This window comes from Homo sapiens, chromosome 1, assembly GCF_000001405.40.
Source record: "Homo sapiens chromosome 1, GRCh38.p14 Primary Assembly".
NCBI lineage: Eukaryota > Metazoa > Chordata > Mammalia > Primates > Hominidae > Homo > Homo sapiens.
In genome coordinates this window covers 1292351-1307939 of record NC_000001.11, presented here as the reverse complement: position 1 = coordinate 1307939, position 15589 = coordinate 1292351, and the positions used below count along the sequence as shown (strand labels likewise).

General features: G+C 66.6%; 1 protein-coding gene and 2 non-coding genes across 10 annotated transcripts, besides 10 other annotated features; all 3 read left to right on the top strand.

Moving 5' to 3' along the window:
- ACAP3 (ArfGAP with coiled-coil, ankyrin repeat and PH domains 3) lies at positions 10-15549 on the top strand. Of its 8 annotated transcripts, none has more exons than NM_030649.3 (24): positions 10-171; positions 3797-3854; positions 4659-4778; positions 4965-5018; positions 5894-5952; positions 7248-7431; positions 7738-7782; positions 7872-7967; positions 8035-8109; positions 8584-8595; positions 9261-9373; positions 9519-9570; positions 9827-9927; positions 10007-10118; positions 11307-11515; positions 11660-11729; positions 11831-11925; positions 12002-12204; positions 12386-12493; positions 13124-13222; positions 13312-13538; positions 13741-13850; positions 14007-14117; positions 14232-15549. In NM_030649.3, the coding sequence occupies exons 1-24, from the start codon at positions 125-127 to the stop codon at positions 14374-14376; spliced, it is 2505 nt and encodes an 834-aa protein (NP_085152.2). In that variant the 5' UTR covers positions 10-124; the 3' UTR covers positions 14377-15549. The 8 variants fall into 8 exon arrangements, with proteins under 8 accessions (NP_085152.2, XP_011538908.1, XP_005244772.1 ...); XM_011540606.3 differs by having other exon boundaries at positions 4659-4808; XM_024452993.2 differs by lacking the exon at positions 10-171 and adding an exon at positions 3148-3258.
- Positions 22-191: a silencer, noted in NCBI's record as "silent region_54". NCBI's record gives its function as "represses an Ori minimal core promoter by ATAC-STARR-seq in GM12878 lymphoblastoid cells {active_cell/tissue: GM12878}" and the evidence as "EXISTENCE:reporter gene assay evidence [ECO:0000049][PMID:35858748]".
- Positions 242-461: a silencer, noted in NCBI's record as "silent region_53". NCBI's record gives its function as "represses an Ori minimal core promoter by ATAC-STARR-seq in GM12878 lymphoblastoid cells {active_cell/tissue: GM12878}" and the evidence as "EXISTENCE:reporter gene assay evidence [ECO:0000049][PMID:35858748]".
- Positions 1976-2145: a silencer, noted in NCBI's record as "silent region_52". NCBI's record gives its function as "represses an Ori minimal core promoter by ATAC-STARR-seq in GM12878 lymphoblastoid cells {active_cell/tissue: GM12878}" and the evidence as "EXISTENCE:reporter gene assay evidence [ECO:0000049][PMID:35858748]".
- Positions 3128-3211, top strand: SNORD167 (small nucleolar RNA, C/D box 167). The gene has a single exon (NR_145806.1). It is a non-coding gene; the product is annotated as a small nucleolar RNA, C/D box 167 (small nucleolar RNA).
- Positions 3166-3766: an enhancer, noted in NCBI's record as "H3K4me1 hESC enhancer chr1:1239554-1240154 (GRCh37/hg19 assembly coordinates)". NCBI's record gives its function as "activates a minimal SCP1, AML or CMV promoter by ChIP-STARR-seq in naive H9 embryonic stem cells {active_cell/tissue: H9 hESC(naive)}" and the evidence as "EXISTENCE:reporter gene assay evidence [ECO:0000049][PMID:30033119]".
- Positions 3767-4366: an enhancer, noted in NCBI's record as "H3K27ac-H3K4me1 hESC enhancer chr1:1238954-1239553 (GRCh37/hg19 assembly coordinates)". NCBI's record gives its function as "activates a minimal SCP1, AML or CMV promoter by ChIP-STARR-seq in naive H9 embryonic stem cells {active_cell/tissue: H9 hESC(naive)}" and the evidence as "EXISTENCE:reporter gene assay evidence [ECO:0000049][PMID:30033119]".
- Positions 4367-4967: an enhancer, noted in NCBI's record as "H3K27ac-H3K4me1 hESC enhancer chr1:1238353-1238953 (GRCh37/hg19 assembly coordinates)". NCBI's record gives its function as "activates a minimal SCP1, AML or CMV promoter by ChIP-STARR-seq in naive H9 embryonic stem cells {active_cell/tissue: H9 hESC(naive)}" and the evidence as "EXISTENCE:reporter gene assay evidence [ECO:0000049][PMID:30033119]".
- Positions 4968-5567: an enhancer, noted in NCBI's record as "H3K27ac-H3K4me1 hESC enhancer chr1:1237753-1238352 (GRCh37/hg19 assembly coordinates)". NCBI's record gives its function as "activates a minimal SCP1, AML or CMV promoter by ChIP-STARR-seq in primed H9 embryonic stem cells {active_cell/tissue: H9 hESC(primed)}" and the evidence as "EXISTENCE:reporter gene assay evidence [ECO:0000049][PMID:30033119]".
- Positions 5568-6169: an enhancer, noted in NCBI's record as "H3K4me1 hESC enhancer chr1:1237151-1237752 (GRCh37/hg19 assembly coordinates)". NCBI's record gives its function as "activates a minimal SCP1, AML or CMV promoter by ChIP-STARR-seq in naive H9 embryonic stem cells {active_cell/tissue: H9 hESC(naive)}" and the evidence as "EXISTENCE:reporter gene assay evidence [ECO:0000049][PMID:30033119]".
- Positions 9821-10757: an enhancer, noted in NCBI's record as "H3K27ac-H3K4me1 hESC enhancer chr1:1232563-1233499 (GRCh37/hg19 assembly coordinates)". NCBI's record gives its function as "activates a minimal SCP1, AML or CMV promoter by ChIP-STARR-seq in naive H9 embryonic stem cells {active_cell/tissue: H9 hESC(naive)}" and the evidence as "EXISTENCE:reporter gene assay evidence [ECO:0000049][PMID:30033119]".
- On the top strand, positions 11770-11830 carry MIR6726 (microRNA 6726). Its single transcript, NR_106784.1, has one exon. It is a non-coding gene; the product is annotated as a microRNA 6726 (primary transcript).
- Positions 15002-15547: an enhancer, noted in NCBI's record as "H3K4me1 hESC enhancer chr1:1227773-1228318 (GRCh37/hg19 assembly coordinates)". NCBI's record gives its function as "activates a minimal SCP1, AML or CMV promoter by ChIP-STARR-seq in naive H9 embryonic stem cells {active_cell/tissue: H9 hESC(naive)}" and the evidence as "EXISTENCE:reporter gene assay evidence [ECO:0000049][PMID:30033119]".

Below are 15589 nucleotides of genomic sequence, written 5' to 3'. Positions count from 1 at the left end.
GGCGGCCTCATTCCGGGGCGGGCGGGCGCCGAGGCGGCGCGGGCGGGACGAGCGGTCCGGGCCGGCGCGGCTGCCGCTCGGCGCCGCGGTCCTCGTGCCAGTGAGCGCCGCGGCCGCCGCAGCCATGACCGTGGAGTTCGAGGAGTGCGTCAAGGACTCCCCGCGCTTCAGGTGCGCCGCCCGGGGCCGCCGGGGTGGGCGCAGGCCGGGGGCGTCGCTGTCGCCTTTGTGCCCGGCGGCGGGGTGGGGAGGTCAGCGCCGGGCCGGGCCGCGGCCGCCGGGGAGGGGCTGGAGGACCGGCCTCGGACAAAGCGGCGGCCCCGCCCCGCCATGCCCCGGGGGTTGGAACAAAAGACGCTCCTGCCCTGTGCGGCCGCCCCGGGTGGAGGGCGTGCGCGTGGGCAGCCGTGGGCACCTCGGGACCGTCCGCCCCCGCTCTGTGTCTGCACCTCCACTGGGCTGAGCCCCTCCCGGGCCCTGCAGTCCAGCTCTGGCCAGGGTCGTCTGGGTCCGTGGGGGCGTCGGCCCCTGGTCTCTGACTTGATCCTGTGTCCAGAGCAGCGCGTGGGGAACAGGCAGCTGGAGCCGCGTTTAAGGCCTGGGGTAGGGTGCTTGGAAACGTGAAGTGGTTTGAATGACCCAGGGGCTTGGAGGGGTGGCGGCCGAGAAGAGCGGCGGGGAAGGTCAGGTAGGGGGTAGGGGTTGTGTGCACACCGAGTCTGCATGTTTTCCATCATTCGTGGCGTGCAGGCGTGTACACCTGCGTGAACTACATGTTCACAGACGTGTGCACAAGTGTGCATCGGCTTTGCTTGGTGGACATTTGGCAAACGACAATGGAGGCAAAGAAACCTCTCTGCATCCCCAAGTGCGCACCTGCGTGAGGCCCCCTCCTCTGCACGAGCTCGTGCGGGGTGCGCTCTTGTGAACTTTGCCCCTCTGCGTGCCTCCCTCCGGACACCAGGCCTTGCACAGGACGTGTGGATGAGCTGTGCCACGGGGCTGTGCTTGCTTCTGCATGTAGCCTGCCGATGAGTGCACGCAAGCGTGTGCACACACCACCTGTCTGTGTGGGTTCACGTACTGTGTTAGCCATGTCAGCAATAGACACATCACCTTGTACACGCGTGTTCCATCACTAGGTACACATGTTGATGCGTGTCTGTGCAGTGTCTCCTTGAACACACATGTATGTGTGGTACCAGTGTGTGCAGGCATGTTTGTGCATGAACATGTTTGCACATGTGTGCTTGATTGTGTATGTGTGGGTGTGCACGCGCGCGCTGGGTCTCTTGGGATCTGCTGGCAAGTCAGCATGTGTGTGGAGGCACGGGGAGCCTCTGTATCCCTGGAGCCCTCACCAGGAGGCTCAGGAGCCTTGGAGTGGGAGGCTCAGGGCCAGCCAGGAGAGTGGCCGCCAGCCCTGGGCAGAGGAACTGGGGCCATCCTCTGCTCTCCCATCTTCTGTTGCTGACCTGGGAAAAGGGGTTGAATAACTTGAGCACCCTAGGATCCTGCATTGAGGACCCGGGCTGTGGGGAGGTGTGGGCATGGCCTCCCTGCTGGGGGCTGGACCCTGGCTGAAGCACCCACCTTCTCCCTGGCCCCTCCGTCAGAAGCCTAATGGACCTCCTCCTCCACGCAGACGGCCCTGTACTGCCCTCTTCCAGTCGTGTGGGGGTGCTGGAACCCACTCACCTCTGGGCCTTCTCTCTGGTAACCGGCTCTCATGGGAGCCTGTTACAGGAGCCAGTTATGGGGGCTGTGGGGCTGCAGTAGGTGCCGTAGAGTGACTGCCCTGGGAAAGTGCCTCACCCCTGTGGGGCATGGACTGGAGTGGGGAGATGAGAATGGCCTGGCCCAGTGGGTTTTGGGGTTAGGCTGTGATTTAACTGGGGTTCGAGGGGCTCCCTGAGGCTGTCCTGGGGGCAGGCCCTAAGGGCGTAACTTGAGTTTCCTGGCCTACCGCCAGGTTGGGGGGCCAGGCAGGGTGGGCGGGAAGATGTGGTCTGTAACGTGGAGCCTGGTCGCCCCAGCCCGGGAGAGGGGGACCCTGCCCGCACCCTCCTGGTCTGGGGAGGGCCTAGTGGCAGCCCAGGTGCAGTGGGCCGGAGGCCAGGGGAGCCCGTGTAGGGGAACCGCCTGGCCTCTGTTCAGTGTGCCCCTCCCCTGGGTGGGGCTTCAGGCGCTGAGTCATGGCTTTGGTTGGGGGGCAGCCTCACCCTCCTCCCCGTCCTCCAAGCTGCTGAGGAAATCCTGGGCTGAGCACAGCAGAGGAGGCCTAGGTCCCCAGGACTGAGGAAGGGAGAGCTGAGGGGCTCCCAGCAGTGGGAGCGGCTCTCGGGGCCTCTGCCAGGGCCCACCCTGTCCCCATGAGCACGTCCGTGAGCTCCTGGGTGCAGCCATCCCCCCTTGCTGGCTCTCCAGGGACACGGGCGCCCCAAACCCGAGGGCGGCAGCTCTGGGTGCAGCTGTCTCTGCATCCGGCCCTGCTCAGGGGTGGCTGCAACTCCTGGGGTGTGGCGCTCTCTGCTGCCTTCTCCTGGGAGGATGGTCCCTTCTCTGTTCTGGGATCCTCCAGCTGAGGTAGAGGTCAGGGTCCAGGGGCTGCAGGCTGGGCACTGGCGGTCAGCGGACACCACAGCGAGATTCCCTCCATCGCCCCCTGCTTCGGGATTCAGAGTCCTCTTAGCCCCTTGGGAACAAGAGAGGGCTGCTCAGAGAGGACCTAGTGTCCTTCTGGGGTGGCTGGGACCCTTCAAGGTCCCTGGCTGGGGCAGCCTGGTGCCTGCAGCTCCAGCTCCTAATTGAGGACACGCCCCATGTAAACCACAGGCCCCTCCCCCGAGGCCTGGGACACCGGTCAGGGTAGCAAGGTACGAGGGACTGTAGGCCCTGATGGCCTCTGCTCCTGGACCCCTGCCCTAGACCTGGAGTCCTGGCCCCAGCCCGGGCCCTGTGGTGCCCAATCCCCAGGAGGCCAGATGGCCCGGACAGCCAGTGAGCCGATTGTGTGGAGGGCTGCCGGGATCCTGGCCCTGTTTCCCTGTTGCCTGCTCCCGGAGGGGGTGGTCACGTGCCCGATCCATCTGCCTCCTGTCTTCCGGGGATTCTCCCGCCGAGGCTTCTCTGGTGATGTCATGCCTTAACTCTTCTCTCCCCAGGCAGCCCCACTGTCAGGCTGTCCTGGTGGGAGTGGGCTCTGAGGAGGATGGCCTACCCGTCTTTCCAGCGGACCATGCCGCTTGCAGCTGTGAGGTTGGGGGAGCCGGGGGCGTCTCTCCCCAGCTGGTCTGGGTCCTCCTGGTGCTGCCAGGACCGAGAGCAGCTGCCCTACTGCCCCCACCCTGTCCCACAGTGCATGGGTGCCAGACCTGGATGGGCTGCAGTAGTGCAGTGGGGTGAGGGGAGGTGCCGCAGGGTTGAGGGGCTCCAGATGGGTCCAGGGTTGACTCTGAACTCCTAGAGGAGAGGCGGGTGAGGCTGGCTCAGCCCTTGGTGGGCACTGTCCCTGAGGGACTCCCAGCGGCCGGCTGTCCTGGGAGAGGCTGGTCCAGCCTTCTTCCCCGAGGGCACAGCAGCGGCTGCCTCTGCCTGCCTGGGGTTGGGGGGGCGGGGGGAAGTGCACTGAACCTGGTCCCAGTCCTGCCCCCGTAGCAGGCAGGCGTCTGTCTCCCAGCCTGTTTCCTGAAAGCCCCTTCCCATGGTGGAGCCCCTCAGGGAGGTGCGGGGGGAGGTGAAGCCCCGAGGGGGCTGAGGCTGCAGGTGACCCCAGCCAGCCCCGTTCTTGCTTTAGGGCGACCATTGACGAGGTGGAGACGGACGTGGTGGAGATTGAGGCCAAACTGGACAAGGTGAAGGGCGGGCCTGGAGCGCCCTGTGCCCGGCCAAGCTTGGGATGGCCACATGGCCAGACTCGCCCTCCAGGCCTTACTAAGCCACTTACACCCCCCATATGTGGAGCATGCGTGTGGTGCTCCAGGTCCTGGTCCCTGTGTCTTAGCATGTGTGTTCCAGGGTGCACATGTCACATGCACACATGTGGCTGGCCCTGAGTCTCGTCCCATCTGGGAGGGGCTGGGCTGTGGTGAGTCCCCGACCCACGGTGGCTGCCCGTCCCCTCTGCTGGGCTGGTGACACGGGGACAGCTGCTGTGTGGGCTGAGCCTTGGTGTGGCTGGGGCTGGGGCTGAGAAAGGGGAGGGGGCAACAGGCCGTGGAGGGGGGAGCCGTGTCCATGAGCCCCACATGGGCTGAGAAAGAGGGGGCAACAGGCCGTGGAGAGGGGAGCCGTGTCCATGAGCCCCACATGGGCTGAGAAAGAGGAGGGGGCAACAGGCCGTGGAGCTGGGAGTGGGCAGCCTTATCCATGAGCCCCACATGGGCTGGTTCTGCTGGTCCTGCTGGCCCTGGGTCCCCTGCCTGGCTCCTGGTCCCTCCCAGCCGAGCCGTGGCGGCCCCACCCTCCCCTCCCAGACGGGCCTCCAAGCCCCAGGCAGGCCCAGGCGTGAGGAAGCTGCACCGGGGCACTGAGTCCTGAGTGCCAACGCCCTGAGTGGAACCTACCCTGGGAGCTCTTCCTGCCTCTGAGTGGCCGTGTGTGGTGGCGAGTGCAGGCGCCAGTGCCCACTGTGCTCACCACGCCCCGCTGGCCCACAGCTGGTGAAGCTGTGCAGTGGCATGGTGGAAGCCGGTAAGGCCTACGTCAGCACCAGCAGGCTTTTCGTGAGCGGCGTCCGCGACCTGTCCCAGCAGTGCCAGGGCGACACCGTCATCTCGGTGAGGGGCCGACTGACCTCTGACCTCAAGGTGGGGTTGGGGGAGAGGCCGAGGGAGGCAGCCCCTTGAGGGCGTCCAGGCCAGAAGCAGGCCGGTGTCTGCACCGCCCAGGGGCTCAGAGGGCGTGGCTGGGTGACCTGGGCCCGGATTTGCCATCTCAGCACGGGTTCCCATCTGCTCCTCCAGGAATGTCTGCAGAGGTTCGCTGACAGCCTACAGGAGGTGGTGAACTACCACATGGTGAGCGCGGCCTCCCTGCCACCTGTGGGCTGTGCCTGGCCTGGAACCGAGCTGCGCTGGCTCACCTGAAGGCCGGCGTCGGGTTGGGGGGGGCACGTTTCTGCTCCTCTAGTCGGGGGGGGGGGGAATCCCACATTTTCAAGTCAGTGTGGGGTTGGGGGACAGCCCTGGGGGCTCTGCCGTGTCCCAGGCAAGGGCCACACTAGACCCTGGGGGAGGGGTGGTTTATCCAGGGTTCCCCCAACTGGGCAGGGCTCTCGTCCCAGGCTGGCCTGGCTGCCATTTGGGTCTGGGTGGCCCCCGGGGGCCCTGGCACTGACGTGGATGGACACACAGGACAGGCACCCGTGAGATGTGGGGCTGCAGCCTGGGAACCTGAGCCGCAGACTGAACAGAGGAGGTCCCGAAGTAGACAAGGCAGGATGGCTCAGCCGTCCCTTTGCTCCTGGTTGTGCCCGGTCCTTCTCTACTTCGGGTTCCGATTCAGAGCCCAGGCTCCAGCTCCCCAGGCCCAGCCCCTGGGTGCTCCCGGCTCTGGCTGAGTGCTCCCTGCTGCAGGGATGGGCACCCCAGGGTGGCCGCCCAGGGCCAGGAGGCAGTGGGGCTCCGGCTCAGGCTGTGATGAGGCAGCCTTGGCCTCTGCACTCATCAAGGGCCAGGTGGGACAGAGGGGCAGGGGTGACAGCCATCGCCTCTGAGTGCCAACTCAGGCCTGGGGGCTGCTCCCCTGACCCCCTTGAGGCCAGCCCTGCAGGGTGGGACCCGCCCCTGCATCTGGGCCTGGGGGCAGTGCCCTCTGCTGGTGAGGATGGGGCCTTCCATCTGGGGCTCTTTCGGGACAGACCCCAAGGATCTCTGCCCGCCTCTGCCCCCAGATCCTGTTTGACCAGGCCCAGAGGTCCGTGCGGCAGCAGCTCCAGAGCTTTGTCAAAGAGTGAGTGGCCCCCAGGGCTGGGGGAAGAACACTGAGGCCACGCTCCCTCCCTTGGAGGGGAAGGGGGTCTGGGGCAGAGCAGAGGCACCTTGGGCCCAGGCCTCCAGGCTGTGCAGCGGCTCCACAAGGCAGAAGGCTCAGAGGCAGACAGCCGGGTGGAGTGCGGGGGGTTCCACACCCTGCATGTGTGGGTGGGGTGTCCAGCCCCCACAGCAGAGAGGTCCAGTCCACGTTGGGTTTGGGGGTCTGGAGTCTGGGGCATGGCTGGGGTCTGGGCTGGACAGATCTTGAGAGTGAGGTGGGGAGGGGCTGGGGAGGCCTGGAGCAGATGATCGGGGTCAGCAGGGGTGCGGGCAGGCCTGGGATAGGCTGGTGAGGAAGGAGGCTATGCCCAGGAGCAAAGAAAGGGCCTGGAGTGGAGGGGGGTGGGGCTGGGCATGGTGGCTCACACCTGTAATCCCAGCGTTTGGGAGGCCAAGGCCAGAGAATGCCAGGAGTTTGAGACCAGCCTGGGCAACGTAATGAGACCTCCATCTCTACAAAAAAAAAAAAAAAAAAAAATTAGATGGGCATGGTGGCACGTGCCTATGGTCCCAGCTATTCAGGAGGATGAGGTGGGAGGATCAGTTGAGCCCAGGAGGCGGAGGCAGCAGTGAGCCATGATTGTGCTACTGCACTCCAGCCTGGGTGACAGAGAGAGACTCCATCAAAAAAAAAAAAAAAAAAAAAGACACCCCCAAGAACCAAAAATAAGCCTTATATGGTGGCACGCACCTGTAGCCTCAGCTACTTGGGAGGCCGAGGTGGGAGAATTGCTTGAGCCTGGGAGGTAGAGGCTGCAGTGAGCCATAACTGTGCCACTGCACTCCAGCCTCCAGCCTGGGCAACAGAGACAGACCCTGTCTCAAACAAACAAAACCAGGCCAGGCGCAGTGGCTCACGCCTGTAATCCCAGCACGTTGGGAGACCGAGGTGGGTGAATCACCTGAGGTCGGGAGTTCAAGACCAGCCTGACCAACCTGGAGAAACCCCATCTCTACTAAAAATACAAAATTAGGCCTGGTGGCGCATGCCTGTAATCCCAGCTGCTAGGGAAGCTGAGGCAGGAGAATCACTTGAACTCGCGAGGCAGAGATTGCGGTGAGCCGAGACAGCACCATTGCACTCCAGCCTGGGTGACAAGAGCGAAACTCCGTCTCAAAAAACAAAAAACACACAAACAACGATGTGGGAGACTCCAGGATCCAGCAGGTGCCCTCCCTGATCTCTCACCCCACCTGGCACTTGGCCTCCAGGGATGTGCGGAAGTTCAAGGAGACAAAGAAGCAGTTTGACAAGGTGCGGGAGGACCTGGAGCTGTCCCTGGTGAGGAACGCCCAGGCCCCGAGGCACCGGCCCCACGAGGTGGAGGAAGCCACCGGGGCCCTCACCCTCACCAGGAAGTGCTTCCGCCACCTGGCACTGGACTATGTGCTCCAGGTCAGCCCCAGAAATGGGCTGGGGGGCGGGGACCAGCTGTAGCGAATGGAGGCCTCAACGGCCTTGTACAGAACTGGAGGGATTTTGAGCAGGAGTGACGATTCTTGCTTTGCCCATGGGTGGGAACTCCAGACATGGGGAAGCAGTCCAGGACCATGGGAGGATGAGGCTGGCCCAGAGCTGGGAGCTGAAGACGACCTGGGGGTCTCAGGGAACCACAAGCAGCTCAGGTGGACTCTATGGCAGGTGCAGGGCTTGGGGCTGCCTCAGCCTCCGGGGCTCACCTGTGGGCTCCCCCTCTGGCAGATCAATGTTCTGCAGGCCAAGAAGAAGTTTGAGATCCTGGACTCTGTGAGTGCGTGGGGGCTGCCCCTGAGCACAGGCTGCATGTTGGGGGCTGGACCGGGTGTGCTTGGGCCTCACCTGTGCTGCCCCCGCAGATGCTGTCCTTCATGCACGCCCAGTCCAGCTTCTTCCAGCAGGGCTACAGCCTCCTGCACCAGCTGGACCCCTACATGAAGAAGCTGGCAGCCGAGGTGAGCCTTTGGGAGGGGTGGGGCTGGGCCAGGCCTCCGTGACCTTCCCTAATGCCACCCCCAACAGCTGGACCAGCTGGTGATCGACTCTGCGGTGGAAAAGCGTGAGATGGAGCGAAAGCACGCCGCCATCCAGCAGCGGGTGAGGCCGCGCAGCCGGCTCCCTGCACACCAGGCGCCTGGGAGGCCCCTGCGTCCTCACCCCATGCCCGGCACACCCTCCCCGCCCCTTCCTCCTGCCTGTCTCCCACCTGCCCTGCCCACACCCTCTCTAGGGGACCAAGGCTGCTCCCTTTGATGTGTGCAGTGGAGGGGCACGTGTGGGTGGGGCCGCTGCTGGGATCTCCTTTTGAGGCGGTGGTCACCTCTGTGGCCTCAGTCACTGGCTCCTTGCGGGGCCTTTGCTTGCCTGTGGGACAGCAGCCCCGGCCACCATCCCGGGCAGAGGTTGGCTGCAGGCAGGAGTGGCTATTTTGGGATAGGGGAGAGCCCCCCAGGAGTTGGGGACGGGTCCACCAGTCACCAGGAGTTGGGGACGGGTCCACCAGTCACCAGGAGTTGGCAGCCGTCACTCACTGGCTTTCTCCCCCTACCCCCTCCTGCTCCGGCCCTCCAGACGCTGCTGCAGGTAAGTGAGCACGGGCCCTGGGCGGGCTGTGGGTCGGGGGAGACCAGATGGGGCGGTGCCTTTCCCTCCTCTACCCCAAGGGCACTTCAGCACCAAGGACACCTCCCACCAGTCTCGGCTCCTGCTGCTGATGCGGCTGTGAGGGGCTGGCTCCGGCCAGACCTCCACATTCCCCGTGGGGTTGGCGGCAGCTGTCCCTTCCCATCCCATGTGGCCTGGGGAGCAGGTGGCCGCCCCTCCCCTCTGCTTCCCTGGCCTGCCAGATGGCGGGACACACAGGGCCCTCAGTGACTCCCAGGCCTCCTGAATGGGGCTCTGTCCGCCCAGCTGGCCACATGAATGGGGCACTCAGGATGCGGAGGGTGGGGGCGCAGCTTCCTTCCTGATCGCAGCCTGCTGGTCCCTGCAGGGCTGGGGTGGGGCCGGCACTCTCGGGCCCCCAGCTGTGAACGTGAGGGGTCTGCCCCACGGGTTGCAGGGCTGGGGGCCTTGCTCAGGTCAAGAAGTGGCTGTGGTGAACAGAGGGTCTCTCGTCTGAGCGTGTGGTCCGTGGGCCGTGTGGCAGCCTCAGACAAGGACCTCACCCCCACCTGTGCTCCGGGAAAGCACGGAGGGTAGCAGGGCCCCTGGGGTGGGCACTGAGGGGGCGGGTTCCATCCCCCCAGGACTTCTCCTACGATGAGTCCAAAGTGGAGTTTGACGTGGACGCGCCCAGTGGGGTGGTGATGGAGGGCTACCTCTTCAAGAGGGCCAGCAACGCTTTCAAGACATGGAACCGGTGAGAGGCCTTCCTCAGGTGGGGGCGGGGTCCTTAGGCGGGGGTGGGGTCCTCAGGCGGGGGTGGGGTCCTCAGGTGGGGGCAGGGGTCACAGCAGCCCTGGGATGGGCCCCGCCTGACTCCCCACATCCCCCCACCCACCTAGGCGCTGGTTCTCCATTCAGAACAGCCAGCTGGTCTACCAGAAGAAGCTCAAGGTGTGCCCTGGGCCTGGGGCTGGGGCCCTGATGGCTGGACGCCCCACCTGGGCCACAGGGCAGACTGGTCAGTTGGGGTTAGCACAGGGCCGGGGCACTAGTGGACGCCGGAGCCGGAACAGTCAGGGAGCAGAGAGCTGGACACGGGGCTTGGGGCTCAGGCAGTCGGCCTCCGGGTCTCCAAGGTGAAGCAGGAAGTGGGTGGTCGGGGCCGGGTGGTGGCTGAGGGCAGGGGCCACAGCGGTGCCGCCCACAGGATGCCCTCACCGTGGTGGTGGATGACCTCCGCCTGTGCTCTGTGAAGCCGTGTGAGGACATCGAGCGGAGGTTCTGCTTCGAGGTGCTGTCACCCACCAAGTGAGGAGGCCCAGCCCAGGGTGGGGCGGGGGGCGTACCTGCCCACCGGAGCTGACGCCCGCCCCTCCACTGCCTGCAGGAGCTGCATGCTGCAGGCTGACTCCGAGAAGCTGCGGCAAGCCTGGGTCCAGGCTGTGCAGGCCAGCATCGCCTCCGCCTACCGCGAGAGCCCTGACAGTTGCTATAGCGAGGTGTGGCCCTTGGTGCCCCTGCCCCAAGCCCGTGCACACACACGTGCCACCGGGGATGGCCCCTGCCCCGCGCCTGTGCACACACACACGTGCCACCGGGGATGGCCCCTGCCCCGTGCCCGTGCACACGTGCCACCGGGGATGGCCCCTGCCCCGCGCCTGTGCACACACACACGTGCCACTGGGGATGGCCCCTGCCCCGTGCCTGTGCACACACACACGTGCCACCGGGGATGGCCCCTGCCCCAAGCCCGTGCACACACACACGTGCCACCGGGGATGGCCCCTGCCCCGCGCCTGTGCACACACACACGTGCCACCGGGGATGGCCCCTGCCCCAAGCCCGTGCACACATGTGCCACCGGGGATGGCCCCTGCCCCGCGCCTGTGCACACACACACGTGCCACTGGGGATGGCCCCTGCCCCGTGCCTGTGCACACACACACGTGCCACCGGGGATGGCCCCTGCCCCAAGCCCGTGCACACACACACGTGCCACCGGGGATGGCCCCTGCCCCGCGCCTGTGCACACACACACGTGCCACCGGGGATGGCCCCTGCCCCAAGCCCGTGCACACATGTGCCACCGGGGATGGCCCCTGCCCCGCGCCTGTGCACACACACACGTGCCACTGGGGATGGCCCCTGCCCCGCGCCTGTGCACACACACACGTGCCACTGGGGATGGCCCCTGCCCCGTGCCGGTGCACACACCTACGTGCCACTGGGGATGGCCCCTGCCCCACACACGTGCACACGCCTGTGTGTGGCTCCTGCAAGCTGGGTGTGTGCTGGTGTGCACTGGCATGCTGGCTTGTGCAGTGTGGATGTGCATGTGTGTGCAGGTACCATCTGCCCATGTGAGGGTGTGCACGTATACACGCGCGTGTGGGAGTGTGCTCGGCACCATCTGCCCACGTGAGGGTGTGCACACGTACGTGCGTGTGCGGGCGTGTGCTCGGCGCCACCTGTCCACGTGAGGGTGTGCGCGTGTGTGCGTGTGCGGGCGTGTGCTCGAGGGGGGGGCCATCTGCCCACGTGAGGGTGTGCGCGTGTACGTGCGTGTGCGGGCGTGTGCTCGAGGGGCCCTGGCCTGCATTGGCTCTTCTGGCTGGGGAGGAGGGGGCCTGCTGGGGAAACCATGCTGGAGCCCCTGCGGGACCGAGCAGCTCCACCCCATCCTCCAGAGGCTGGACCGCACAGCATCCCCGTCCACGAGCAGCATCGACTCCGCCACCGACACTCGGGAGCGTGGCGTGAAGGGCGAGAGTGTGCTGCAGCGTGTGCAGAGTGTGGCCGGCAACAGCCAGTGCGGCGACTGCGGCCAGCCGGACCCCCGCTGGGCCAGCATCAACCTGGGCGTGCTGCTCTGCATTGAGTGCTCCGGCATCCACAGGTGGGCCCCTGAGGGCCAGGCTGGGGGTGGGGGTTGGGCTGGAGCATCCACAGGTGGGCCCCTGAGGGCCAGGCCGGGGGTGGGGGTTGGGCCGGAGCTGGGGGCCTTGCCTCCCCCAGACTCATCCCTACCTCTGCTCTCCAGGAGCCTGGGTGTCCACTGCTCCAAGGTGCGGTCCCTGACGCTGGACTCGTGGGAGCCTGAGCTGCTAAAGGTGCGTGTGGGGCTCCTGGAGGCCACGGGACCCCGTTTGTGGGGGCGGGAGCTGGGGTCTGCAGGTTCGCACTGATGCCTGCTCGCCCTGTCTCCCGCTAGCTGATGTGTGAGCTTGGAAACAGCGCTGTGAATCAGATCTATGAGGCCCAGTGTGAGGGTGCAGGCAGCAGGAAACCCACAGCCAGCAGCTCCCGGTGAGGTGGGGTACAGTCTGGATCAGTCAGGGAGCCCCAGCCTGGGGGCACAGCCTCATGTTCCCCCCTGGTCCAGGCAGGACAAGGAGGCCTGGATCAAGGACAAATACGTGGAAAAGAAGTTTCTGCGGAAGGCGCCCATGGCACCAGCCCTGGAGGCCCCAAGACGCTGGAGGGTGCAGAAGTGCCTGCGGCCCCACAGCTCTCCCCGCGCTCCCACTGCCCGCCGCAAGGTCCGGCTTGAGCCCGTTCTGCCCTGTGTGGCCGCTCTGTCCTCAGGTGGGAGGCCATGCCCCGGCAGGGCTGGGAGGGGCTTGCCTTGGTCGGGGATGGACTCCGTCAAGGGGCTGGTGGCAGGGCTCTGGGGGCACCTCAGGCTCCGCAGACTCCCGGCGTGACCTGGGGTTCCCTGCCCCACCCCGGGCCTGTTCCACACTCTGAACACGCACTGCCCCTGCAGTGGGCACCCTGGATCGTAAGTTCCGCCGAGACTCCCTCTTCTGTCCCGACGAGCTGGACTCGCTCTTCTCCTACTTCGACGCAGGGGCCGCAGGGGCTGGCCCTCGCAGTAAGTGTGGGGTGGGCCCAGCCAGGTGGCAGGGCAGGGCCAAGGAGGCTGGCCTGAAGGGTGCCTGAGTGTGGATGGCCCTTGCCAGGGAATGGAGCAGCATCTGAAGGGGCGGGGGGCCTCCTGGCCACACAGCTGGAGGCCAAGGCCCTGACTGTCAGGGGTGAGCTGTGCAAATGTGTGTGTGGGCTGTGTGCACCTGGGTGTGTGCACACAGCGGGTGGCCCGGGGTGCTGGGGAAGCAGAGGGCGCTGCCAGCCGGCCCTCAGCCTAGGGCCCTTCTGGAGCCATGCTGCCCGTTGGTTGGGTGGAGACATTTCAGCCTGGGCCAGCCACAGACGGGGCTGGGGGGCCCACTGCGGGGGGTGCCGGGTAAGGCGGCGAGCGGGAGGGAAGGGCTTCCCAAAAGGCCTGGGCTTTAGGGGGCTACCCCTGGCACCTTTGAGCTGTTATTTGGTTTTCTCTCCTTTGCTCCTAGCCTGCAGCTGGCTCCCCCCGGCCCTGGGTGGGAGCTGGTCCTGTCCCTAGGGGTGGCCCCTGGAGGGTGGGTGGAGTTCCAGCCTTGCCCCAGGGCTCTGGACGGAGTCTGGGCCTCCCACCCTCAGGACCCCCTTCCCTGCGGACCTGCAGGTCTGAGTAGCGACAGTGGCCTTGGGGGCAGCTCGGATGGCAGCTCGGACGTCCTGGCTTTCGGCTCGGGCTCTGTGGTGGACAGCGTCACTGAGGAGGGTGGGTGGCGTCTTGCCCTCGCCCGAGGCCCCTGCCCAGCCCCTGGGCAGCCCCGGGGGTTGCTTTCCCTGACCGCCCCCTCCCCACAGAGGGTGCAGAGTCGGAGGAGTCCAGCGGTGAGGCAGACGGGGACACTGAGGCCGAGGCCTGGGGCCTGGCGGACGTGCGCGAGCTGCACCCGGGGCTCTTGGCGCACCGCGCAGCGCGTGCCCGCGACCTTCCTGCGCTGGCGGCGGCGCTGGCCCACGGGGCCGAGGTCAACTGGGCGGACGCGGAGGATGAGGGCAAGACGCCGCTGGTGCAGGCCGTGCTAGGGGTGAGCGAGCCACGGGGGCTGCGCGCAGGACACAGGTGCACAGTCGCGTTTGCATCTTCTGTGGCGCCCACACAAGGGTCGCCTGTCCGCGGTGGGGACCACGTTCGGTCCCGGCTGGGGGCGCCCAAGGCCGGGGTCAGGGTGCAGAGGCGCGGAGAGGGGCCGGTGCCGTGGCTCCGTCTGAGTTGCCCCGGCTCCCCAGGGCTCCTTGATCGTCTGTGAGTTCCTGCTGCAAAACGGAGCGGACGTGAACCAAAGAGACAGCCGGGGCCGGGCGCCCCTGCACCACGCCACGCTGCTGGGCCGCACCGGGTGAGACGCGCAACCCACGCCCCGCCCTGTGCCCCGACCACGCCTACCCCGGCCCGGCTACGCCCTGTCCGCCATGCCCTATCCGGCCACGCCCCCGCGACCACACTCGCCCCGCCCCGCCCCGCCCCGACACGCCCCTCCGACCTCGCCCCTCAGCCAGGTTTGCCTGTTCCTGAAGCGGGGCGCGGACCAGCACGCCCTGGACCAAGAGCAGCGGGACCCGTTGGCCATCGCAGTGCAGGCGGCCAACGCTGACATCGTGACACTGTGAGCGCGGCCGGGCCCTCGGGGCTGGGCGGGGCCTCCAGGGCAGGGGCGGGGCCTCCAGGGCAGGGGCGGGGCCTCCAGGGCAGGGGCGTCTCACGCTGTGCCTCCCCGTAGGCTCCGTCTGGCGCGCATGGCGGAGGAAATGCGCGAGGCCGAGGCTGCCCCTGGTCCCCCGGGCGCCCTGGCGGGCAGCCCCACGGAGCTCCAGTTCCGCAGGTGTATCCAGGAGTTCATCAGCCTCCACCTGGAAGAGAGCTAGGGCCGGGCAGGCCGGGCAGCTGCCACCCCGCCCGGCCCGACGCCCCGCATGCCCCGAAGTCCCTGGCGCCCACCCGGCCGCGGCCCTGCGTGTGACCCGCGGGTCGATACCTGGCAGCCCCAGTGCTGGGGCGCCGCGGCCCTGCTCGCCCAGGAGGAGAGCGAGGGCCCCACACTGAGTCTCTTGAAGCCTCACGTTTCCCTGGGGGGGTGCTGCATCGTCGGGTGTCCCTCACCCCACCTGGGGAACCTCTGTCTTCAGGTCACCCCTTTTCAGGGGCCTGGGTTGCTCATGTCACAAGCCACTTTTAAGGCCCGTGTCACCTGTGTCCCTGTGTCCTCAGGGCCTGTGTTACTTCGTGCCCCACTTCTGCCCAGAACACTGACCTGTTAGCTGGCTCCCTCCTGCACACCCCAGAGCCTCCTCCCAGGGCAGAAAGGGTGGCCCATCCAGGGAACCAACGAGTACCTCACTTAGTGACCCCAGCATCCAGGCTGGCGTCGCGGGTGCTGGGCGGGAGGGGCTCTGGCCTGGGTCCTCAGCCCTGGCTGGACGCGGGCGTCCCAAGGCCACGTGGCTGGCCACGAAGGTCCCCGTGCCAGACAGCCCCAGCCGCATCCCGGCCTCCTCCGGAGGCACCTTCTCCTGGTACTCGGCCCAGAGCCTGCGCATAAAGCCACTTTGCCACTTTGCAGCCCTCATCTCATGTTCTTTGTAGCGGACCGAGTGGGTTTGCTATAGGCCTCGTCTGACTTTGTCTTGCGTCTTTTCTCTGTGGACTCTTGAGGACGCCTGAGCCCCAGCCCTGCCCCTGACCAGCCTCCCCCTTGGGTCCAGGGGTCTTTCGGCTCATATTGCAGGGCCTGCCAATGCCTTCACGCACCCCTTCCCCAAAGGTGCCCGGCAGGGAGGCAGGGCCTCCCCCACTCAGCGCAGGTCAGGCTAAGGCCAGTCGGCTGGTCACTATGCAATGCTGCCCTGGGGAGGCTCCCTGAGGGCACAGTGGGCGCTGGACCCGGCCCCCCAACTCTCTTGCCTGCTGCCTGTGACCCTGAAGAACAGAATTGATTCTTGCCCCTCTCCCTGTGTGAGCTTGGCCCCGCCTCTTGCCCCAGGCCCCTGCTGGCGGGTCTCACCCCCCACCCCTCGCTTTGAATAAAGCACTTGCGCCCACTGCCTGCTCCTGGGCTCCCGTGCCTTGCTCTGCTCTGTC

Excerpts from the sequence above, each read along its gene's own strand:
- ACAP3 (XM_011540606.3), top strand. The coding sequence starts at position 125 with ATGACCGTGGAGTTCGAGGAGTGCGTCAAGGACTCCCCGCGCTTCAG. Across the intron at positions 172-3,796 it reads AAGGACTCCCCGCGCTTCAG|GGCGACCATTGACGAGGTGG; the intron begins GTGCGCCGCCCG and ends TTCTTGCTTTAG. Across the intron at positions 11,926-12,001 it reads CCCACAGCCAGCAGCTCCCG|GCAGGACAAGGAGGCCTGGA; the intron begins GTGAGGTGGGGT and ends CCCCTGGTCCAG.